Source organism: Homo sapiens, chromosome 12 (genome assembly GCF_000001405.40).
Source record: "Homo sapiens chromosome 12, GRCh38.p14 Primary Assembly".
In the NCBI taxonomy this organism is placed as follows: domain Eukaryota; kingdom Metazoa; phylum Chordata; class Mammalia; order Primates; family Hominidae; genus Homo; species Homo sapiens.
This window is the reverse complement of record NC_000012.12, coordinates 106,289,115-106,314,147: the sequence shown is the minus strand read 5'-3', so window position 1 is coordinate 106,314,147 and position 25,033 is coordinate 106,289,115. Positions and strand designations below refer to the sequence as shown.

The following is a 25,033-nucleotide window of genomic DNA, read 5'->3' as shown; positions in this document are numbered from 1 at the left end:
TGATAACATTGTCTCAAATATTTATGAGACCAACTTATTAATATAGGCCCATTATAAGTTACTTTTAAAAATTAAATTACCAGGCCAGGCGCAGTGGCTCACGCCTGTAATCCCAACACTTTGGGAGGCCGAGGCAGGTAGATCATGAGGTCAGGAGATCAAGACCATCCTGGTTAACACGGTGAAACCCCGTCTCTACTAAAAATACAAAAAAATTAGCCGGGCATGGTGGCGGGCACCTGTAGTCCCAGCTACTCGGAAGGCTGAGGCAGGAGAATGGCGTGAACCCAGGAGGAGGAGCTTGCAGTGAGCCAAGATCGTGCCACTGCACTCCAGCCTGGACGACAGGGTGAGACTCGTCTCAAAAAAAAAAAAAAAAAAAATTAAATTACCTCATTTTTAGTGCCCATTGAAATCTGCACTTATTATATGTATTATATAGGAAATTGATAAAATTATTTTTATTCTGTAATTCAGAAGTCTCATTAAGTAAACTCAATATGAAATAACTGATTTTTAAAACCGTAATATTTATTTATTTATTTATTTATTTATTTATTTATTTTTTTGAGATGGAGTCTCACTCTGTTGCCAGGCTGGAGTGCAGTGGTGCAATCTCAGCTCACTGCAACCTCCACCTCCTGGGGTCAAGAGATTCTCCTGCCTCAGCCTCTCGAGTAGCTGGATTACAGGCACATGTCACCATACCAGGCTAATTTTTGTATTTTTATTAGAGACGGTGTTTCGCCATGTTGGCCAGGCTGGTCTCGAACTCCTGACCTCAGATGATCTGCCTGCCTTGGCCAAAGTGCTGGGATTACAGGTGTAAGCCACCGCACCCAGCCAAAAACTGTAATTTTTAAATGTATAGGCAGTATAGTATAAACACTTAGGTTCACTCTGAGTTTTGCCAATTGGTATTTATCATTGGATTTCACTGAGGCATAGCCTTCCTCCTCACAGGGTTGGCCTGAGGTGACCGAATGAGATAATTTAAGTAAAGAAGAAGATAGTAAGAACTCAATAAATTTACATAATTAAAAGTAAAATAGAATAAATCTGAGAAGCCAGATATTTTACTTCTCAGTAGGAAATAGTAAATGAAGAATCTGAGTTATTTCTAAAGATTATACTAAGAAACTATTCTAATAAATCATGTCTTTTAAAAATCACTGTTGGAAATCTTAGCTTCTTTTAATTAAAATCATGTGTCAAACAACAGCAGTGACAGGTAATACTTTACTACCTAATTTATTTTTTTTTCCCAAGACAGAGTCTTGCTCTGTCTCCCAGGCTGGAGTGCAGTGGTGCAATCTTGACTCACTACAACCTCCACCTCCCAGGTTCAAGCGATTCTCCTGCCTCAGCCTCCCAAGTAGCTGGGACTACAGGTGCATGCCACCATGCTCAGCTAATTTTTGTATTTTTAGTAGAGATGGGGTTTCACCATGTTGGCCAGGTGGTCTTGAACTCCTGACCTCAGGTGATTTGCCTGCCTCAGCCTCTCAAAGTGCTGGGATTACAGGTGTGAGCCACTGCGCCTGGCTACCTAATTTTTAGGAGAAGATGAGGAGGAGGATCAGGGAAAGAGGAGGAAGAAGAGAAAGGTGATACACAGAATTGGTAAAACCCTTCTTCAGGATGCCTAGGTACCCTGGTGTCAGATGCAACAACACCACATACAGTATAAAGAGTGAGAAAAGGCACAGAAACCTGGGGTGGCTGCTGTTAATTTCTTTTGCCAGGTCTGACTCAAGATTCTCCTTAAAAATGTCTATATACTTTGGTCCAATAATCCAGTGATATCCAAAAGTCTTTCCAGAAAGGCTTCATGCAGTAAGATGTTCATAAAGCACTATTTATAACAGCAAAAAAAAAAAAAAAAAAAAATGGAAACTAAATGTCCAGTGATTAATCAATGGTTAATTTTACCGTACATTCACTTGGTAAAGTAATAAGTATTCATAAAACCAATGTTTCAAAAACATGTAATCATGAGTAAATGTTTTAGTTATAATACTAAGCAAGAAGAGTCCACACACATATACACACATATGTCTATGTGAAGGATAAAGATACGGCAAAGCACTGCCAGCTGTCGTCTTTGAGTGATATCATAGGCAATGTTTTCTTTTCTCTATTCTTATGTATCTTCTAAGTTTTAAAAAATGAGAATGTAAAAATTTAAAATACAAATGAAGCAATTTGTAAGAAGTGGACAGTTCAGCATATTAAACATTAGTTGCTTTTTCCTGCATTTGCTTTGCCAGTTAAAGCTGTTATATTTACTAAATAAAGTGCCAATTAAAAAAAAAAAGGCAAACACATCTGCTTTACCCATCTCTAGTTTCTACATGCAAAAACGGGAAAAAGATATCTCCTTTTGCTGTGGCCTCTCTTTTAACTCTTTCTCACACCCCTAATGTAGTAATTCTCCTTGTGGGTACCTTCCTGGGGTGATTTGCACAATATTTTTTTGAAATCAACATGAAACCCTTTAGATTATTTCACTTCCTTCCTGACCTTTCAATGAAGGCCAGTTTCCTTCAATGTAAATCAGGAATAATCAGAAAAGACCAATTTGAATTTATCCTTCAGTGGAGATCTAAGAAGTAATCTCAAGGAATGGCTTTCTGCTGTTTGGGAGAAAAGACAGATGGGGTTGAAGTCCTGACTTATCATCAGACCGAAACAGATCGGAAGCAGTGATCAAAATAAAAATCAGCAGGTTGTAAACTTTAGTGGCTATTTCTGAGAATGTGTCCCGGAAAGCTGCAGTGCCTCTGCAGTGCTATTCTGGTGCATCTAGAAAGGAGGGGAAGTCTGTTGCTCTCAGGCGTTTCTGAGTTTTCAAATCCAACACATATCTAGAAGTACCCCTGCCACCCACAACCCCTGCTCCCCCATCGGCTCACAAGCAGGAGAGCTGGATTTGCTGGAGGAGTCACTTGCAAAGCTCTGCCTGGAGCATTCATAGTCACTGAGCGAAGCCATGCTTTCGGAAAACCGGGAAGAATCAGAATCGCTTGGCTGGTCCTCTCCCACACACTGCTTCTCGCCATTGAAGGGCATTTTGCGTCACTTAAGTGTGGGTAAAAAGGTAGCACCTGCACAGACAAACAGACCCTGCGTCAATGTTCTGTGGTACTTCCACAGGCACCACCAATGCTTCTTCCAGTGTAGACAACTGTCCCCACAAGTGTCACTGTGTTGGAAAGGCCCCCAGATGACCTCATCCTTCCCCCAGCACCTTGGCCGGACTAGGCCAGATCACTAGGTCATCGAGATTGCCTTTCTGAAAAGGGATTCCACAGCCATAGGTGTGAGCTTACTCAGGACACACCCACTATAAATGTGAAGCTCTAAGTAATGGCAGGTCCTTTTTAAAAAGATGCAGGACACATGCTCTCTCCTCCTGGGTTGCTGAAACATGAGAAGGCGGGAGTGTGGGACTTGGGTCAGATCTCTCGTTCTGTTCTGCCTTTTGCCATGAGACCTTGGGAAGGTCACTTAACTACCTACCTCATAGTGAAACTGGACTGAAAGACTAACCTCTCATTGGGTTGCCAGAAGATTGAATAGAATTCATCTTAAAGAGCTTGGCACAGTACTCAAATGTTAGCTGCTATTATTGCTCCTATTGCTTTGTTTCAGATAAAATAGCTGTGAAATCAGCCTCTTTACGCTTTCTGTGAACCTCCTGGGGAAAGGGGAAGACCGCATGAAACCTCTGGCTGGCAAGTCTTTAGCTTCTTCCCCCTCCATTTCCACATGAACTGCTGTGATATGAAGATTAAGACCTGATATATGGTTAGGATTTGACAATTTACAAAGTACCCATCACAACCCTATGAGTGCACAAGCATGTAGGATCCTGACTCACAAGTGGGGGAACAGACTCAGAGGGATAAGGGGATTTACTACATGATAAAACCAGTCCCTTGGTGTCTATGTCCAGTGTTTCTGGGACATGAGAATCCTTCCAGGGAAGGGCCGTCAGGTTTGGACACTACCCAGAAAGCAGATCACAGGCACACAGGATGACCAGGCCTTGGTCCCAGGAGCACCAGCCAGGCCCGTGAGGGAGCTGACCTTGATGTGAATATGGTATCACCTGACACTGAAGGGGAAACCCGGGCTCAAGGAGAAAGGCACCTCAAATCCTGGATGGACAATAATGAGAGGAAGAGTTCACTGAATCCTTTTAAACCTAAACCAGCCCATGCAATGAGGGATGCAGTGCTTTTAAAGCGGCCAGAATGGGAAACCACAACTATGTATAGTATGTCTGAAAATGCCTGCAGTTTCTTCAATGATTCCATTAATATTCAACAAGTGCCTACTTGAGCACTGAGCACCGGGGAAAGTAACCAAACAAAGACAATGCCCTATTCTTGTGGTTCTCAAGTCCAGCTACCTAAAACTGTGTACTGAATGCTACTAGATGGGAAAAGGGGGAATAAGGCATTGTTGAGAAAACACAAGAAAGGAGAGGCAGGCTCAGGATTAGCAGAGCGGGAGAAGGGGCACTAGCCTTTGTTGAGAGAAAAAGAGTAATTTTTTTAATTCCTTGGATGGTGATGGGGACAAGGATGAGTCTGAGAGGGATCTAATAAGGGTGAAAGGTCTAAGGTCATTTGCGCCTTGCCTCACCTAAACAACCGTCTTCAATCCTGCCACAGAAATGTATCCTTGCTGAGCCCACCACTTTTGCAAGCAGAAAACCACTAGAGTCCACTTGTGCAGGCTGAAGGGCAAGGAGTGGAGTGGAGACACTCACCTTATCCCAGAATCCCAAAGCCATGAACACTGGCTATAAGATTCTTGAGCCCTTGCATCCTCAGTGGTGAAACAGCCTCCTCTAACTCATGAAGACTAAATTCTACCTGAGCTTAAACTCCAATCTGCTCAGGGGAAGGCGAGAGAAGACAGAAGAAAAGGGGCTACTTCAAACCTTTCACTGCCACCAAACCCCAAATCCTAAATGGAATGTTCACCCTCCCCTCTAGTTTGCTTCCTCTCTTTGCCAACATTTGATGTCCCACTGATGGCATTTCTTGCAAATGCTACCTTCTCCAGGAAGCCTTGCTTCTAGCCAAAGTGAATAGCACTCCTCTTGGTATGTCTGCAGCGCGTCTCCTGTATCTCCATGACAGCGCTTAGTTCCTTGTACATTAGTTCCTTGTTCCTTTCTTCCCATGGCTACTTCTGAATCTCCTTAATAAAGCAGAGTTTGTGTCTTGTCCATGACCAGCGCCAAGTATATGACAAGTATTCATTCAGTGTCAGCTAAATCAGAATCCCTGAATCTCATTTGGTACAGCTTCAACCAGAACATTTGCAACCTGATATCATGACACGTTAACCAGGCTGGTACTGCCAAAGCCCAAGCCTTAGAGCAGAGAATCTACTGCTTAAGCCTATCTTATTAGATTTAAACCTCAAGATTCTCAGGTCCTTGTCATGCTCTTATTTGAATATCTTAAAGTTTGTTTCCACTTTAAGTCATTTTTCCCCCAGTTATTCCCCTGTAATGTAACCGCTGTGCTATGCATGCTCTGCTCTTAATTTTTCTCTACTTCGGTTGCCCTCAAATGAGCTCTGGCTGTTTTTCCAAGTGAAATTGAATAAGAGCTTCCAGCCATGAGAATTTATGAACTAGCTTAATAGTTTTAACTGTCCATTTCATTTTTCTACTTTAGCTGGATAGCACACTTGGTAGGTTTCTTAACTGTGTTTAACAAGGCAGAAAAGTGCAAAGATTAAAATAATTGGGAGTCAGGAGTCCAGGGTTTGTGGCCTGGGTTCATCATTAATGTGCCGTGTGACTTTATGCACATTTTTCTGAGAGGTTGGGCCAGTCATAAGGTTTCTCTCAGCAAGGAATATATGATGCTCCAAACCCAGAGTTCCATGAGGCATCACTAGAAGTTCTGAGAAATTAAATGTGCTTATGGCAGTCATGCTTAACAATGTGAAACTACACTTTCTTCCAGCAATTCACTGGAGGTAGAGTTCCTGGCACAGGGGCTGCAATGGAAAATTTAAAAGCTTCAAAATGTTTAGAAACTCTTGTTTAGTGGGTAGAAGCCTCCACATTACAACTGGGCCTTAGTGTATCCAAACAGAAACCTGTATTTGAAGCCAAAATGCCCATTATTACTCTATTAAAAATTTGTCTGTTTCCTCATATAGGCTTACTAAGAATACCTAATTCATAGGGTTGGTGTGAGATTTCAGGTACCCAATACATGCAGCGTGTTTGGAACAGTCATTGACACAGTAAACAGTATACAAATGTTTTCTATTATTTGCTTTTTTTTGTTAATATCATTGCCTCAGGAATTAAACACTCTGGAGGGAAGAACAGTTTTATGTCAGGATAACACCATATTCTTCAACAGACAAACAAGGCTGGTAGTTAACATAGAACAGAACTCTTGGCACTTGTTTGACAGACAAAAACCAAAAGCGAATGGCCCATCACTGTGTGAATGGTCTTCCGCAAGTTCCTTCATACCTGCTCTTACCTTTCTCGGTCTTGAGTTTCCAAGTAAGTCACCTGGGGACAAACCTACTTGATTCAAAAGGCACTGAGGATATTTAGATTGCTTTAAAAACTATTTTGGATTATCCTTTAGACTGATGATAATGAAACCAGGCTGTATCTTTAAGAAAGGTAATACTCCTTATGCAAACTTAGATCTACCTAACCTTTGCCACTGCAACTCACAAGTAAATCAAACAACTTTTCAGAAACATCACATCTCATCATACCTGGAGGATTTAATCACTGGTCAAAGGTAAAGTCAACAGAAAAGACTGAAGATGACTCCAAGCAAAGCCTCCAACACGATAGCAGGTCACTATTCAAAGAAAAGTACTGTCATATTCACATTTTTGATTGTATTATTCCATCACTTTGTGATAATAAATATAATGTCATTTCTTCTGAGACCATCACTGGAATGCAGCAAGCATTCAAATATTTATTCAAATATTTATTGTTGAATAAATGAATGGTAGTAAGACTACTGACATTTAAGAGGTGTGAATGGGTACAAGGACTTGAAGGGGCTAGTGCTGTATTTCACTACAGATAGAGAGGAGATTGGTTTTTAATTTGCTTGTGATTCCTCAGCTCGTGTGCAGCTTTACTTCCTGATTTCCTTTCTGCAGCAACTCTATCTGCAAATAGTTCTGCACTGGTTCAGAATTGCAAAGATACACTGATGATAATACATGTCACTGAAGCCATAAGAACATTGCCTCTGGAGCTAGGTGGACTGGGTTCTTGATCCCGGCTCCTCTTGATTATTTACTGACTAGAAACAGAGAACTCGCCATTTGTAAAATGGGACAATAATAGTATCCACCTTGTAGAAGTGTTGTGAAGATTAACTGAAATAGTATCTGTCAAGTACTTAAGCTCCTAGTAAGTGCCTGACGGATGTCAACTATTATTTTATTCTTATTAAAAGAAGTTACAAGTTCCGAAAATGTAATGTCATAAAAAACAAAGAAAGGTTGAGAATATGTTCCAAATGAAAAAAAAACACTTGATAACTGAGTGCAATAGGTGATCCTAGAGTGGATCCTATACTGAAGCAAAAATGCTGTAAAGGACAGTATCAGTCAATCAATAGCACTGTTAACAATATTTGAATCTACTGTCTGTTATCCAATGTTAAATATACTGAAGTTGAAATGTACTGTGGTTTTGTATTTAGGAATAAAGGGCCATGACATATACAACTTTTTCTCAAATGATTCAAATGCAAGAGAGAAAAAATAATAAAGCACATAGAGCAAAATGTTAATAGGTGAATCTGAGAAAAAGGTAGACAACATGGTATTCCTTATACTATTCTCACGACTTTATCTGTAAGTTTGAAAGTATTTCCAAATAGAAGGTTAAAAGAGAAGATGACAGGCTGAACTGAAACTTCAAGATTCAAATTCAGAACAGTCCAACCTCTTGCAGTTTTGAAATTCTGATTGTGCCCACTGCTGTGATAGCTTAAATACCACTCTATTACAAGAACTCTTCTAGACAGTCAAACTTGTCCTGATGTCCTTCTTGAACAGTGCCTAAAGAATAAAACAGGAAATAGGCCAGAGCCCTCCAGAAAAGGCAAAATAGATAATCCTTTTTAAGAGTTCATCCCTAGGTGGGTTCCCTTTTCCTAAGTCACTGGGCCATGGTTTACAACCCTCTGTGATCTTAACTCTGCCCACCTTATTCTGCAGTGTTCTCCCACTAACCCTTCATGATCTTCTTTGCGTTCCTCAGACATGCCAAACTTCCTATTTCGGGGCACTCATACCTGCTGTTCTCTGCCCCTGAAATGTTCCTCTCCCTGATCTCCTTGTGGTTGGCTCCCTATTGTCATTCAGATTTGAAATTTAATGTCACCAACTACGAGGTAACCTTCCCTGATTGCTACACTCACTGCATCTAATGAGCCAGCTAGAGCTTAGAACACCGCTAGGGCTAGAGCAGGAGCTCAGTGAGTACAGCTGCATGAACTAATTACGCCACACTCCTATTCATAAGACACCTTGAGTTTTCCTTCTTTTCTGCCTCACTCACATTACTCATATTCCCATTACGCAGTCACTTACAGTACTACACTTGTGTGCATATCTGTCTCCCACTAGATTTTAAGCTGCTGGTGGAAGCGATGACTCTCCTCTCCAATTCCCAGTGCCTACTTCAGTGCATTTGCAAGGCACCAAAAATTCAAACTAGCAAAGACCCACAGTTCCAGGAGGTTAAAGAAACTCACGTGTAGCAAATAACAACAATTACAGCTAACAGTAATTGAGTGCTTATTATTGAGGTAGTAATAAGCACTCAATAACTGTTCTATGATAAGTTCTTTATATATTTTATCTCCTTGAATCCTTATTATAACCTTGTTAGCTAATGTATCAGTATTATCCCCATTTTATAATAAGATCCTGAGGCCCAGAGAGGTTGCGTTACTTGCCCAAGGGTTCACAGCAGTGTAGAGGCACAACTCAAATCCAGGAAGCGGATCCCTAAAACCCATGCTCTCTACCACTCCAGTTTGGCTGGAGAAAATTTGGTGTGCTGCTCATTCTTTCCACTCCCACTCTGCCAAATCCATCTACCCATCACCCTGTGGACACTTGCACATGTGGTAGCAAGCTGATCTTATCCTGGTATGGCTGCTCAAGTGCTATTCTGTGAAGGGCATCACTGAAGGAGTACGTCACCCAAAACAATTCTTCACCACCCCGCTACAGTGACAGAAAATCCTCTAGGAGGGAGCCATTCTTTATGCACCGCAAAATCCCTAGTTAGACCCCACGTATTAGCAAAAAGGTTAACTGCTTACAGTCATAAACATTTTGGAGTGAAATATTCAGATTACCCAGCAGGGCCTTGAGGAATTGAACCCATCCAGTTAAGGTTAGCTCACGCAAAAAAGAAATTTCAAGAAACTTCTAGTGTGTACCATCCTTCAACACTAGATCGAGGTCAGCTGCAAGGACAAGCCTTCACATATGTGTAGTAAAGGGAAGGGAGTCAGAGGACTAAGTCTGGGCTCTAAAGAAAAAAATTGCAGATGATGTGAAAAATTTCCATCTTCTGCAAAATGCTGCTTTAGAATCAGTCTTAAATAGCAGCACTAAAGTTATTCATCCACAGCAAAGCAAAAACCATAGAGCAGAGGGATAGGGGCCCATACCATTCATCTAGACAATACTGGTCTTCATCAAGTTAGAACCAACAAAGAGCTAGATAAAAGCCAACAAGCCAGTCACTGTCCACAAAGCAGATGTTCACGTTACACGTGGCATTACAGCATCAGGGAGAAGGATTCCTGGCACTTTTCACATTTGAAAGCACTCCTCCCACACTTGCTGGTCTGTTTTGTTTTAATACCTGTGCTTCCCCCTCTGGGGCCCTCAACCTCTCACAAAATGGCATTGAAGCTGCTTCCACACATGACTGGGTATCTTCGGCCCTGGGCCTCTTCAAATCAGGCAACTTCCACTGGCTGTCAGGGTGATGCATGAAATCCCTAGAGAAGAGAGGAAAAGGACCACGGCAGGGAGCCTCCTCAAGTGGGAACCACTGAGATTAACTCATTATCCGTTGGCAGGTAAGAAGAGCAAAGTCCCTGACTGGGCTGGTGACCATGGGTGCTGAGACACCCACTGGGGACAAGGACAACTTGTCCAGTTTCTTCACAGTTAAGGTAGCAGGACAACCATCTAAGATTTCCCAAACTTAAGTCGTTTGAGTGCCACTCTTCATGACTATTTCTACGTCTCCCTCCTTACCTTTACTATAATTTAGTAACCGCGTCTCTATCTTGACTAGATTTTTGCATTTAAATATATTTATTTTAAAAGGAAACTCTATCATTGTGAAACTGCTTACTTAATGGAACAGATTTTCTTAATAGTAACGAAAACAAGTAACTATGTTCATCCATATGCCACCTCAAATCATTGCTATTACCCCCAGTGGTGCCACCTACAGTAGCAGCTTTGGGAAGCACAAGCAACACCTGAGGGTTCAGCGTTCGAGCCCAGGCCCAATCGGCTTTTCTCCACCTCTTCCCCTTAACCAAAGGTCCCGGCAAGGGGACGCAGCAGCAGTCTGCACGACCTCACCCACGTCCTCTGGCCGCCCCTCCCCTCCAGCAGCACCAGGTTTCCTGTCAAAACAAACCCTTGGGGGAGGGGACGGCGGAGGCAGAGCTGAGTGCCGGGGAAACCACGGCAACAAATCCCAAACACACGCTGCCGGGCCCGCCCTGCCTCTACCCTGGCTCAGTTCCCTACTCCAGCCCGGCCGAGGAGTGTGGGGGAAGGGGGTGCCCTGGGCCCCTGATGGCGGGATGCCGCTGGTACCTGTCCAGCAGGATTTAAACAGCGGCGAAGCGGCCTCCGAGGCCCGAAGTCCGTGTCCACCCCGACACGCGGGGCGGCCACTCGGTGCCCCGCTCCCCGCTCCCACGCGGGACGGCAGTTCGAGGTCAAACAAGGGGACGCGGAGTGGGAAGACATGAACTAGGAGCCGAGCTTGATGGCCCCTGACCCCGCCTTCCCAGGATGGAGTTCCGAGATAGGGCAGGGGAGCCTTCGGGCTGCAGCGGTGTCCCCTCCGTTGGACCTGGCCGGTCACCTCCGAGCCGGCAACGCCTCCCCCGTGATGGATACGCACCGGGTCCAGCACGTAGACAAGAGGAGAACGGCGACGGAGTGACCCCGGGTCAGGGCTCTCTGGGCGTCCCCTCACCGAGCACAGCACAGTCACCTCGAAAACTCACCAGCCCAACAAACCCCCCCAGCCCCAGTGTCCCCCCCAACGCGGTATTTAAAGGGCCCTGAGGGACTCTAGGGAGGCAGCCACGGCGCGGCCATCACAAAACCGGATAGCGGGGGGACGACGGCGCGACGGGGCAAGGGGATCCAGGGCCCTTCAGTCTCCGAAAGCCGAGCGCTCACAGACTGAACCTATTAGAGAAACAGTCTTCGTCAGTTTGAACCAGAGAGGCCGAGAACAGCTCGGATGGGAGGGTGTTTCGGATGCGAGAGGGCACGGTTCCCCCGCGCGGCGAGTGGTGCGGTCCGGGCTGCCGGGGGCGGGGTGAGAAGTGTTTACGGAACTGAGGCCGCCGAGCCGACGGGAGCGCCCGGCGTTGGGGGCGGGGCCTGCCAGGGCACTGGGGGCGGGGCCGAGTGGGGGAGCGGGGGCTGAGCGGGGGCTGAGCGGGGGCTGAGCGGGGGCTGAGCGGGGGCTGAGCGGGGGCTGAGCGGGGGCTGAGCGGGGGCTGAGCGGGGGGAGCGGGGGCTGAGCGGGGCTCTGGGGAGGTGGGCGAAGCCGCGGGCCAAGCCTCCAGTGGAGTGCCGGACAGATCCCCTGGGCTTCCAGGCGCACTGGCGTGGACCACACTGCGAGCTCCCGGCCGCGCGTGGAACATTGAGTGCCCGCACACCCCTGTCTAGACGGGGCAATCGGAACTGGGTGCCCACCAACACACTGTCCACACTTACAGAGACAACCCAACCAACAACGCTGCTGGTGGGCTTTCCCACGCACGTCAGCCACTAACCGGGTCATCTCCAGTTGCGTCTACACCTCCACATAAACACGGGTCTAGATTTGCACCTGCACGGGACGATTAGCTCCTTGGAGTCACACCCATCCAGGCCCTCTGAAGACTTGGCGTGCGTGCAAAAGATAAAGCGTCTTACTTCCTCTAGGGTTCTTGGCAGCACCTATCTCCGGGAGAAGTTTCCACCTTGGTTAATGTAAATAACCAGTCCCAGGAGGGCTCTGTGCCGTCTGGCCTGCTGCTCAGCTCCTGCTGTGGGCGTGCTTGAGGGTGTAGAGAAACAAGCTTCCCCCAACTGTTCACATCAAAACTATGCCTTCTGCCAGGTGTAAATCGGTGCTGTATTACTTGGGAAATAGTTTCATGCAGGAACTACTTACATGAAGTTTGTATAGACTAAAGTATTTCTGTTTAGTGCCGAAATTATGTCTGGATTGTGGAGGCAGATTGGCCACCACCGTTCAAAAACAACAACAACAAACAACAGGCAACATTTTAAAGCAGGGTAGAAAGTCAGTTGTTCAGTGGTTACAACACAGACTCCTCTATGGTTCCAGTCCTGGCTCTGACATTCACTATCCATGAGATCTTGGTCTCTGGGGATAACAATGATAGCTATTTCCTTGGGTTATTTTGAGGATAAAGTGAAATAAAGCATGTGAAGTGCTTAGCAGGGTGCACAGTAAGCACTCTAAGTATTAGTTATTGAAATTCTTTGGCAAACCACTGTGGCCAAACTTAGCTGGTGATCTGTATAAATTTGTATCTGTGCCTCCTTTTGCCACTTTCCTCTCTTCTCCTAAAATATACAACCTAATAATACAGGTTAAGAGATTAAATAGAAGGTGCTGTCCCCACCTGAGTTCTTCCCTACAAACATGCTCTTATTTGTGTCATTCGTTGGATAAGTAATCAGAATGACAGAAGCCTCCAATTTCAATTCCTGCCAAATGACAACCACCACACAACTGCCATCACCACCCTAAAAACTCCACAATAGAAAGATGAACACCCAAATCCCCCAAACTTCTGGTAATTCTGTGACAATGACACATGGCAACATTACTTCCTTTGTTAGCTTTGTAAGGATTTAAGTATTGTTTTGAGCTATGACATAAGTTGGAGCAGGTGACCATGAGTCAGGGTAGTTGTCCTTTATACTGGAGTGACCAGCTGCCTGATCCTAGGCATGACACTTCTTTTAAAGTTCAGATATGTAGCTCTCAAAGCCACCAGGAAAGCAGCTTTTGTCAAAGCAAGTTCAACTGTAACATCAGAGAACCAAGCTGAGATAAGAAAAGATGCTGGAAATACTATCTTCTGTTACTTTAATGTTAAATAACTTGCTATCTGAAAACCCTTCTGTGAATTACCTGACCAACTGCCCTTGGCCTGACTTGTGTATAAAAGCACTTTGGGCCAGGCACGGTGGCTCATGCCTGTAATCCAAGCACTTTGGGAGGCCGAGGCAGGTGGATCACAAGGTCAGGAGATCGAGACCATCCTGGCTAACACGGTGAAACCCCGTCTCTACTAAAAATACAAAAAAATTAGCTGGGCGTGGTGGCACGCACCTGTAATCCCAGCTACTCTGGAAGCTGAGGCAGGAGAATCGCTTGAACCTGGGAGGTGGAGGTTGCAGTGAGCCGAGATCACGCCACTTTACTCCGGCCTGGGCGACAGAGCGAGACTCCATCTCAAAACAAAACAAAACAAAAACAACACTTTGAAAAAATGGAGTGCTGTAAAATATAAGGCAGTTCCCTCAAAAATGAGCCTTGTATCACATTGTTGCTCAGAGGGCTCAGACAGTCATAACACAAAATCTTCCCTGCTCAGGTTATGTTTATGGCTTTCTGAGGAAAAAAAAAAAACAACAAAATCTGAAAAGGCAACCTCTTTAGAAGTAAAATAATTAGCATTTTATTTGAAGAAGACATATTATTACACCTAGTTTTTCTAACTTACCTTTTTGAACCACTTAGAGAACTCACAGTAATACAGTTTTTTTTTCTCCCTGTAAATTACACGGTAGACTAAATGTGGTCTATCACTCTTGGCAAAAGACTAAGGGCAGATCAAAATTTTTGTTCGATGAAGAAATAGAAATACTCATTTTCTTTTTACACATCTGAAATCTGAGTTTTAAATTATAATAAATCATTGACAAAAATCTAAAAATGTAATTACAGTTGGATTTGCAACCTCTCAGCCTTATAACTTTTCTAGTGGAGTTGCATATTGTACTGATTTAATGTAATGCAAATTTAGCTATACGGGACTCATCTAGGACAGAATATGAGGAACACAAGAGAATAATTTAAATACTTCCAGTGATCTTGTCCCCTATTTCTCTCTATGGGAGTTGTGAGGCTTCTCTTACTGTGTTTATCTGAGTTTCTGAGCTTCTCATTATGTTCCAAGCTTCTTTCCCACGGCTGGCTTCATGTTCGTGCAGTCTGGGCAGTTGCACAAGGCCCCACCCTTGGAAGAGCCCTGTGCTTGGTTTAATACATTGCTGCTGTTGTGTTGAGATTCTTAATACTGTGCTTTTTGAAAGGGGGCCTTGCATTTTCATTTTGCACTGGACCTGGCAAATTATGTAACTGGTCCTGATCTCCCCACACAGAATATGAGTCTAGTGGTTAAAGGTGCTTATCTTCCTGCCCCTAAGTGCCAATCAATTATTTCAACCAGTGCTCACTTGAAGAAACTTATGTCTGTTTCAATGCTGGAAGAAAAGAAATAGCCCCAAACAAACAAAAAACGACAAAAACTTGGTGTATCCCAGGTCTTATGGCTCATTAAAAAATTTTCAAGAGTAATTTTCACTGCACTTTGACCTCATGGTCTTCCTTAAGAGCCTAACCCCTCCTGTAAGATGTGACTCCATTGTAATTGAAAAAAACAAAAACAAAAAGCAAAAAAATGGGCTGGGCATGGTGGCTCAGGCCTGTAATCTCAGCACTTTGGGAGGCTGAGGTGGGTGGATCACCTGAAGTCATGAGTTCGAGACCAGCCTGACCAACATAGTGAAACCCTGTCTCTACTAAATACAAAAAATTAGCCAGGCATGGTGTGCATACCTCTAATCCCAAATACTTGGGAGGCTGAGGCAGGAGAATCACTTGAACCCAGGAGGCAGAGGTTGCAGTGAGCCAGGATTGCACCATTGCACTCCGGCCTGGGCAACAAGAGTGAAACCTGGTCTCACAAAAAAAAATGGCCGGGCATGGTGGTTCACACCTATAATCCCAGCAGTTTGGGAGGCCGAGGCAGGTGGATAACTTGAGGTCAGGAGTTTGAGACCAGCCTGACCAACATGGCAAAACCTCATCTCTACTAAAAATACAAAAAATTAGTTGGGCGTGGTGGCACACACCTGTAATCCCAGCTACTTGGGAGGCTGAGGCAGGAGAATTGCTTGAACCTGGGGGGCGGAGGTTGCAGTGAGCTGAGATTTCACCACTGCACTCCAGCCTGGGCAACAGAGCGAGACTTTGTCTCAAAAAAAATTTTAAACTAAAAATTAAATTAAAAAAAATGTTTTTCAAAGGAATCCCACTTCTTTTCTCTCCCCTGTCCATCTTCAGGTGCTACAGAAAGGGCCAAAAATCAGTGAGGGGGAAAATACAATAGAAAGCAAAAAGAAGAAAATGAATTTGGCTAATACACCAACTAGAGAATTAGGCCCTGAATGTTCAAAAATTAACTGCATACCTCCTACTCAATTTTACTGTGAGCTCTAAAAATAAGGTCTATTAAAAAAAATTAACCACACCTTTTAGGCAATTTTTTTTTGTTCTATATCCTGTGATTTGGAAGATAAGGTAGATTTAGATAATTGACCAGTTTTGACTATTAATTGATGCTTGAACAATTTTCCAAAGCACCAAAACCAGTTTTCTTTTGACTCCACTGAACTGAATTAGTAAAAAAATTAACAGTTATTTCTCATTTCAATTGCCTGTACCTTCACATTTAGGCACTGCCCAGTCCCTGACCCTGTCACATACTAAAAAGACAAATATTCTTAGTGCTCCCTACACCCCACCCTGGGCCCCTTCCTCTTACCTGGGCACCACTGTTGTCCCCTGGGAAGCAGAAAGAGTGAGAACCAGCAGTGAAGACAACTTTGGGGCAGGAAGTGGGAGGGGCCAAAGAGAGTTGAAGCTCAAAGGAACACCTATGGGAGGCCAAACAGGTGATGGCTCAGACCTCTGACCAAGCCAGTCACTCTCTTTAGCTCATCTCCAGGCCAGCAGGCAATCAACCATTTTCTAAATGATTGCTTTTCTAAAGTGTTCATGGATGAACACAGGCCCTCAGTTTTAAAATCAAATGAAATTGTCAAATGGGCATGAGGAAGAGCTACTAAAATAAGATGCAATCTCCAGAAAACATAAAGGAAGGATTAAGAAATGTGACTTTTTAGGTACACGATTCAACATGAAAACATGAGTTACAGAACACTGATTATGGGGTGACACGATTTATGCTAGAGAGAGCTTACACTAGAGACAGTACATATGCATTGTGTGTATATGAAATACATAGAAATGGACTAAAAAGAATCTCAACCGTTTAGAAGGCTATTTAGGCAAGTTAGTTCCTGGTTTATTCCGTACACATTCAAGCAGCTTATTTCTTTTACAATGAGAATGTCATTCATATATTACTAGTCTATTTCACACTGCCATACAATGCAACTATTCTTATTATTGTATGTCCTCCTAAATATACCTTAGTGAAGATAGGCTATTGATACTGCACAATAAGCAAATTTCCCATCTCTTTTTTATTCATATTTAAGAAAGCCATGACAACAAATGGAGCTTTTCATGTAAAATATATGAAAGAATAGATTTACAAAAAGTCCCTCACTATGATATGTCAAAATTATTAATGCTGGGTGGGGGAATATTGATCTTTACTTTTTAAGTTCTTCTCCTCAAGCCCTATTCTTCGATAGCCAAAGTGCATGGAGTTTGCTTTCATTTTAAACATGTTTTTTGCCCCAAACTCTGACCTCTAAAACCTTCCCTTTCTTTGATGATAAACTGGACAAATGTCCTTTCTCAAAGTTATATGGGACTTTAATAATTATACTACCTTTTTTTTGTTGTTTCTTTTTTTTGAGACAGAGTCTCACTCTGTCAGCCAGATTGGAGTTCAGTGGCATGATCTCGGCTCACTGCAACCTCTGCCTCCCGAGCTCAGGCGATTCTTTTGCCTTAGCCTCCTGAGTAGCTGGAATCACAGATGTGTGCCATCACGCCTGGCTAATATTTTGTATTTTTAGTAGAGATGGGGTTTCACCATGTTGGCTAGGCTGGTCTCGAACTCCTGACCTCAAGTGATCCACCCCTTGGCCTCCCAAAGTGCTGGGATTACAGGCATCAGCCACCACACCCAGCCGTACATTTTGAAGACAAAAAAATTGAGAGCTCTGAACATTCAAATGCCTGAATAGTAGCTTTTACCTGAGTTCCTGGGCATTCTAGAGGAAGGTCATATACTAGGGCACTAAGGGTTTATGTTGACTAAAGGGATACTCAGCAGTGACTCACTCAGTTGGCAGGTCAAGAATAGAAACCAGAAGAACTCACTTCATGGCTTCTCTCCGCAAATACACACATATACACGTGCAGTGTCACATGCAAAGTATTACCTATTGGCATAATTATCTAATTTCCATAACAACATATCAACAAGCATACCAGCTCTGTACCAACTAAGTGCCCAAAGTATTTATAATCACATTCCATTACTCTAGAAGGGTGCCTGGACCAGATACTGGGGTGGCTGTGCCTTCTAGAAAGCAAGAATGGAATGCAGCTTTATACAAAAATATGAAGCTGTTTACATAGATATATATTCACCCGCACACATGCACACACGAAACATTTCTGGCCAATTCCCTCAGAGGGATCCCAAGCCATGCCATTGTTTATGTTACATGTACATCTGCATGTATATTATCAGTAAATTCCCACAAAGCTCAGTATAGGCTGGGCGCAGTGGCTCATTCCTGTAATCCCAGCATTTTGGGAGGCCGAGGTGGGCGGATCAACTGAGGTCAGGAGTTCAAGACCAGCCTGGTCAGCATGGTGAAACCCCGTCTCTATTAAAAATACAAAAAATTAGCTGGGCGTGGTGGCGCACTCCTGTAGTCCCAGCTATTTGGGAGGCTGAGGCAGGAGAATCACTTGAACCCAGGAGGCAGAGGCTGCAGTGAGCCAAGATCACGCCACTACACTTTTGCCTGGGTGGCAGAGTGAAACTCAGTCTAAAAAAAAAAAAATGCTCGGTGTAACATAATTATACAAATAAATTTAATTTTAATGCTGAAGCTGAATTCTTTATTTAAAGGAAGACCTCTGTGATGATATGTGGACGTTTAAAAAAATGACTTTTTAAAAGTTACAAGCATTACGTAGATCAAAATTTTCAAAGAATTAATCAACTGAGGTACAAAATAATTGTATATAATGAGGAAATGTGGTATGGTGGAAAGAGGGTGGGCTTTGGGTTCAGACAGACCAGAGGGTTGACAGCCAAGTTCCACCACTCATTATACATATGTCCTTATCCTCACAGGTATAAAATGGGGATAATAATGTTGTGGGGGCCATTTGTCATTTTGGTGATCCAGCTTTCCGAATGGTATTTGAATTGTTATCATTTATTATAGAAGCCAGAGAGGGGATGATATGCTAATCCCATTAATACTTTACTACTGGAGCTGGAAAGGCATTCTGTCTTCCCAGACCCTGGTGGCTGTAGCATGGGCATGGGACCTACGCATGTTCTGTCAGATGCTGACCACCACAGGTAGATAGGGGTGATTCACAGAGCTACAGTGGTGGTGCCCAATGCTGATGACACCAGCTATGGCATCCTTAGCATGTTCTTAGCTATGCCTGGCTTCCTTTAGTTCTTTCCCAAGCTTGGTTCTTCAGTCTAAAATATGTTAGAGTCACTCGATAGCTAATTCCATGAGCTACCAAGACCCTCTGGTCTCAGTTCCATGAGCTACGAAGACCCTTCTGGTCTAGTCAGACTAAGGTGTATTATTTGCCACTAAGAACTTTGACTAGAACAAATACTCCATAACCTGTGGGAGAATTAAAAGAAATAATGTATATGAAGAGTTGAGCAGAGTGCCAGCGACATTGTATGGATCAGTAAACTGTAACTACTATTATTATACTCTTGTTATTTTAATGATTTAATATTTACAGTTTCGACAGGTCCTGGGCAACTTAAAGGTCTGTGACATGCGATAATTTAAAATTCTGCCAAGGAGCAAATTTGAATCTAATAAGTTGGTGGTACAGGAGCCATTTATTTACCTCACAAATGAGCCTAACACATCACCCAGTATTTATATATCAATGTGAGGATTACTATTCTCCACTCATTAGGCCAGTAAGTCAGATCCATTCAGGAAAATAATATAACTTTATATTGTGTTAAGAACAATGATCCAAAAACTTGGATAATTATCCAAACGTTATCCAAAGACTTGGAAATAGGCAAAAGGGATTACTGGATGTCCTTTTAGTAGGGTGCTGTGTAGTGCAGTGTAGTAGCAGACTCGTACAAGGATTCATGCATTATCTAGGACTGTGTACCTTTGTTGGACTTACTACTCGTTATTGGTTCAGATATTCCAGAACTTTGTAAAGGCAGATGTTACTTTATCAAAAACTGATAACAAGGGCCCAGTGTAGTGGCTCACGCCTGTCATCCCAACACTTTGGGAGGCCAAGATGGACAGGTTGCTTGAGGCTAGGAGTTGGCGACCAGCCTGGGCGACATAGAGAGATCCTGTATCTACAAAAAAAATACAAAACTTAGCTGGGCAGGGTGGCATGTGGCTGTAGTCCCAGCTAATCAGGAAGCTAAAGTGGGAGAGTCCCTTGAGCCCAGGAGTTCGAGGCTACAGTGAGCTATCATCATGGCACCTCAGTTTAGCCTGGGTGACAGAGACCCTATGTCAAAAAACCGAAAACCAAAACCCAAAACAAAACACCAAAAAATTGATAACAATGCAAATTATTCTTGTCCATTTCTAATACAAGTAAAATCTTTTCTGTTCTATAGAAAAGATAAAAGCTTACTATTTATTACCTTATAAGACATTAACCAATTTTGTGTCTAACCTAGTAATCTTATTGTAAGATTTTTAAAAATGCATTTCTTGATGGGATATATAAACCCCTATTTCTCAAATATTCCTTAAACCAACTTTACCATTTTACTGGCTAACTCTTTAATTGATGAAATAAATATTTTTTTAAGCCCGTGTTTGTTCTGTTTCATATAAGTCATGTTTTCAATTTGTTGAAAATTATACCTTGACAAATAGAAGTCAATCCAAGGGGCCACATAGAAGGAGCATGTAATCCAGAACTGACGACCCCCAGGTAGGCTTCCTAGAGAAAGGAGTAGCCAAGCAGATACATGTACAAGAAGTTCTCAAGTGATCTCAACAAAACAGATTCAGGCCCCTAAATCAGTATTTAGGTCAAATTCATTGTTGAAAAATAAGGCTGATATGAGCTTAACTGATAAGGAAGAAAATTGGAACTACTTAGCTAAAAATCTGGATTGGTTTAAACTGCTTCAGTGTTGCTTTTATAATTTTCAAAAACGGCAGCTCACTTTGGAACCACAGGTACCTGCGAACTGTGGGAAATTCACCATTCTTGCCAAATGAGGTGAGGAACTCAATTCACTTTCTAAATCTACATAGATGGTTCTGCGCCATTTCTTCAGGAGTCCAAAGCTGAACCATAAGCTTGATGTAGAGGGCATTGCAATGAGTGGCTTTCAGCCCACAGGTGGACTTTGAATTTGAATGCCACAAGCCCACCCCTCTTATATGTAGCCTACTTCATTCATTTACATGGTTCACCTAGCTCTTTAAGCATTTTTGCCATCTCCATGAAGAAAAGTAGGGCCCCAAGCATTGTTTTCACCCATGAAATCTGCTATGCATGACTAGATGCAAAAAAGCAGACTTCAGGAAATCTTTTAAATGTACAGCATGTATCACACATATCCTGTAATTATTGGAGGACATGAAAGTCACTCACTTCAGACTGTTCCTTGGGCACAAGGAATGTCTTCTACTCATGAATACAAGCAATTTAACTGTCTGAAGGCTGAACTCAGAGGCTCAAATTAATTGCCTGACTTTGGACTAACAAGGGTTTCAGGGTTTTTTTTTTTTCCTTTTAGCAGGAGGGGTTGTGCAAAAATTAAACTTCTCCTGAGCACCTAAAGTCTCCAGATGCTGGGCAGGTAGTGTTTACCAACACTCCCCTCAATAGCTGCCTCTTATTCTCAGACTACCTGATGGCTGAGACCACGATGTCTCTTTTGGGCAAAGTCGTTCTCATACTTGCTCCATAAAAGGGGAAAATACAGGTATGGGAGTTCCTCTTCTGGAGTACAGATCTGAGGCACATGCAGCTATGCCCTAACCCAAATACACCTCTTGGTCATGGGTGACGAGAATAGGAGATACTTCTGCCTGTGCATTGGAGCCTGCAGTGAGCAATGCTTGCTCGTGTTTGCCCCAAAACCTTTTTCAGACAATAACTCTTTATATCCATCTTTGTTTCTTTATTTTTTATTTATTTATTTTTTTAATTTGAGACGGAGTCTTGCTCTGTTGTGCCCAGGCTAGAGTGCAGTGGCACGATCTCGGCTCACTGCAACCTCCACTTCCCGGGTTCAAGCAATTCTCCTGCCTCAGCCTCCAGAGTAGCTGCGATTACAGGTGCCCACAACCACACCTGGCTAATTTTTTGTATTTTTAGTACAGATGGGGTTTCACTATATTGGCCAGGCTGGTCTCGAACTCCCGACCTCAGGTGATCCTCCCACCTTGGCCTCCCAAAGTGCTGGGATTACAGGTGTGAGCCACGGTGCTGGGCCTATATCCATCTTTAAATTAATCTATGTTATTTTGCACGGTGCCTGTGACATAGTAGTTTCTCAGTGCTGTATATACTGATTGGTAAGAGGACGTTACAGACACACTTCTAAATACTGGCTGGGAGTGCGGGAAGTTAGTTGGCAGGGACAATCACTGATTAGGAGGGAAGTTAACTCTGACGAACTTTGACTATAACTTCCTTTTTCCTTTTTTCTTTCTTTCTGCTTTGCCTGAAAATTAGGAAATAGACAAGGTAGTCAGAGGGGTCAGAGAGCTAATGGTGAAAATTAAGAAGAAAATATATTCCCTTCTCTCTGCTTAAATTGCAAAGGGATCTCTGTCCCTTTAAAGAAAATCAAAAGCTATATGACCGCAGAGATTCTTGAGGAAAATCTACATAGTTTTTCTGGAGACACGATAAGCTGAAACAAACTCCAGGCAAACCAAGAAAGATGAAGAATCATTTAGGACTACCCAGAATTCTGCAAAGTACGGTGATTAAGCAGTGTTTCAAACAATTACAGTCATGGTTGCTTAATGATCAGGATACACTCTGAGAAAGGCATCATTAGGTCCTTGTGCAAACATCACAGAGTGTGCTTACGCAAACCCAGGTGGCATAGCCTACTACACACCTAGGCAATATGGTCTAATCTATTGCTTCTAGGCTACAAACCTGTACAGCACGTTACCATACTGAATATTGCAGGAAATTGTAGTAACACTATGGCAAGTATTTGTGTGTCTAAACATATCTAAACATACAAAAAGTAGAAAAAATATGGTGTAAAAGATAAATTATGGTACATGTATCTAGGGCAGCTACACTGTAATCTTATGGGACCACCATCAAATATACTGTCCACTATTGACTGAAACAGTTATGAGATGCATGACTGTATAATTATTTACAAAGACACATAACAACATAAACATTTCTTTTGGGGAATAGTAGCAGGGTTGGGAAAAATAGCATACAGGCAGTGGAAAGAGGGTAGATTTATTAAAAAAAAAATCAACCTTCTGTTTGAATTGCAGCACTACTATCTAAATGCTGAAGGATTTTAGGCAAGCTGCTTAACCTTTCAAAGTCTGAATTATCTTGTCCATAAAATGAGAATGATCAGGCCTAACTAATTGGGAATCCTGTGAAAGTAAAATGAAATGAACATATGTAGACTATGTGCCAGAGAGTGACTTATCTACTTCCTTTACCTGCTGGTCACACAGCCTCCCTTATGGTTAGATATTGACTTACTACCGGATTTACTGGATTCTGGCCAGTGAAATAGGAGGGAAGTGATGGATGGATCTTCACTCACTTTCTTGGGACTCCAGATTCATTTTTTGTGTGTGACAGGGTCTTGCTCTGTCACCCAGGCTGGAGTGCAGTGGCACGATCATAGCTCACTGCAATCTTGAACTCTTGGGCTCAAAATATCCTCCTGCCTTGGACTCTTGAGTAGCTGGGACTACAGGTACATGCCACTGTGTCCAGCTAATTTATTTTATTTTATTTTATTTTTGTAGAGACAGGTTCTTGCTTTGTTGCCCAGGCTGGTCTCGAACTGCTGAGCTCAAGTGATTCTCCTGCCCCAAGCCTTTAAAAGTGCTGGGATTACAAAGGTGAGCCACCGCACCTGGGTGCCCTGGACAAAATTGTACCAATAAAATTGATACCATCACTGTTTCATTTATATATCTGGTTACATCTCTTCCTCCCACTGGACTCTGCGCAGATAGGTAATCTTCTTCATGGCTGTCTTTCTAGTGCCTGATGTGGTGTCTGGTACAAAATTTGGTTCTTCATAAATATTTTGTAAATAAATAAACAAATGAGCTACCCCAAAGCTGAGTCTTGAGGGGTGAGTTAGCTAGAAGAAGAAAGGGAGTCAGAGTGTTCTAGGTAAGGGGACAGAATGACAAAACTCAAAGAGGTGAGAAATGGCAGTGTGTACCTAGCGGGGAAAAGCCAGACTTAAAGAGCAAGAGGGATGATACATTTCGCATTATTTAGTTGATTTCTCTTTGTATAAGTCTCGCCAATCTAGTTTTTTCTTAATCCCATTGAAAACGAGGGGAAAAAAAGGCCAGGTGCGGTGTCTCACGCCTGTAATGCCAACACTTCGGGAGGCCAAGTCAAGCAGATCACTTGAGGTCAGGAGTTTGAGACCAGCCTGGCCAACATAGTGAAACCCTGTCTCCATTAAAACTACAAAAAAATTAGCTGGGCATGGTGGCTGCTGCCTGCAACCCCAGATACTTGGGAAGTTGAGGTAGGAGAATCACTTGAACCCGGGAGGTGGAGGCTGCAGTGAGCCAAGATCGTGCCACTGCCCTTCGGCCTGCGCAACAGAGCAAGACTCAATCTAAAAAAAAAAAAAAAGGGAGAGAGAGAGAGGAAGAAAAGAGAAAACTAGCTTTTGGTGTAATATTCAGGTCCTGAAGCAGTGGTTTTATACATTGGTATATCTTAGATATTCCTGCCCACCATGCTTCTGTTTTCATATTTCTCAGGATTTCTCAAGGAGATGAGAGAAAGCCACAGAGACCGATGTTTCTGCTTCCATACCACTTCCCTGAATCATGGACTCCATATCTTGCTCTCTTCCTCCTCTCATCATGTGTCATGTCACATACCTACTCAAAAACCATCAGTGGCTCCCCATTACTCCCAAGTAAAACTCAAACTTCAAGGCCTTCATTGATTGGGAAGCAACCAATTCTTTCTGCCTTATCTTCTAGCAAGCTTTCTCTAGTTATAATGATTGTGCAACAAATTAGTCCCTAAACTTAGTGGCACAAAACAACCTTTCATTATGCTCACAGATTCTTGTGTATCAGGAATTTGAACAGGATTCAGCAGGGAAGGCTTATCTCTGCTCCACAATGTCTGGGACCTGACCTAGAAGACTTGAAAGTGGAGGGTAAGAGTCACTGGAAAATCTCCACACTTGTGGTGGTGGTTGATGCTGGGAAG

General features: G+C 43.1%; 1 protein-coding gene across 20 annotated transcripts in view, besides 4 other annotated features; it reads right to left on the bottom strand.

The window, feature by feature from the left end:
* TCP11L2 (t-complex 11 like 2) overlaps positions 1–16,213 on the bottom strand; it is a 49,069-nt gene extending 32,856 nt beyond the window's left edge. For 3 of the 20 annotated variants that reach the window (NM_152772.3, XM_011538132.4, NM_001286262.2), the window contains exons 1-2: positions 11,207–11,415; positions 2,916–3,107 (exon numbers count right to left, since the gene is read on the bottom strand). In NM_152772.3, coding sequence (NP_689985.1) covers positions 2,916–3,072 — 157 coding nt within the window. In that variant the 5' untranslated portion in view covers positions 3,073–3,107; positions 11,207–11,415. Of the gene's footprint in view, positions 1–1,713; positions 1,856–2,915; positions 3,108–5,070; positions 5,218–6,777; positions 6,867–9,916; positions 11,416–12,098; positions 12,276–16,175 lie in introns of those variants that run through there. The other 17 variants (XM_011538129.4, XM_047428669.1, XM_011538130.3 and 14 more) reach the window with 12 other exon arrangements.
* Positions 10,752–11,637: an enhancer, noted in NCBI's record as "H3K27ac-H3K4me1 hESC enhancer chr12:106696289-106697174 (GRCh37/hg19 assembly coordinates)". NCBI's record gives its function as "activates a minimal SCP1, AML or CMV promoter by ChIP-STARR-seq in primed H9 embryonic stem cells {active_cell/tissue: H9 hESC(primed)}" and the evidence as "EXISTENCE:reporter gene assay evidence [ECO:0000049][PMID:30033119]".
* Positions 11,348–11,487: an enhancer, noted in NCBI's record as "active region_6947". NCBI's record gives its function as "activates an Ori minimal core promoter by ATAC-STARR-seq in GM12878 lymphoblastoid cells {active_cell/tissue: GM12878}" and the evidence as "EXISTENCE:reporter gene assay evidence [ECO:0000049][PMID:35858748]".
* Positions 11,498–11,577: an enhancer, noted in NCBI's record as "active region_6946". NCBI's record gives its function as "activates an Ori minimal core promoter by ATAC-STARR-seq in GM12878 lymphoblastoid cells {active_cell/tissue: GM12878}" and the evidence as "EXISTENCE:reporter gene assay evidence [ECO:0000049][PMID:35858748]".
* Positions 11,658–11,777: a silencer, noted in NCBI's record as "silent region_4816". NCBI's record gives its function as "represses an Ori minimal core promoter by ATAC-STARR-seq in GM12878 lymphoblastoid cells {active_cell/tissue: GM12878}" and the evidence as "EXISTENCE:reporter gene assay evidence [ECO:0000049][PMID:35858748]".
* Positions 16,214–25,033: the final 8,820 nt, after the last annotated feature.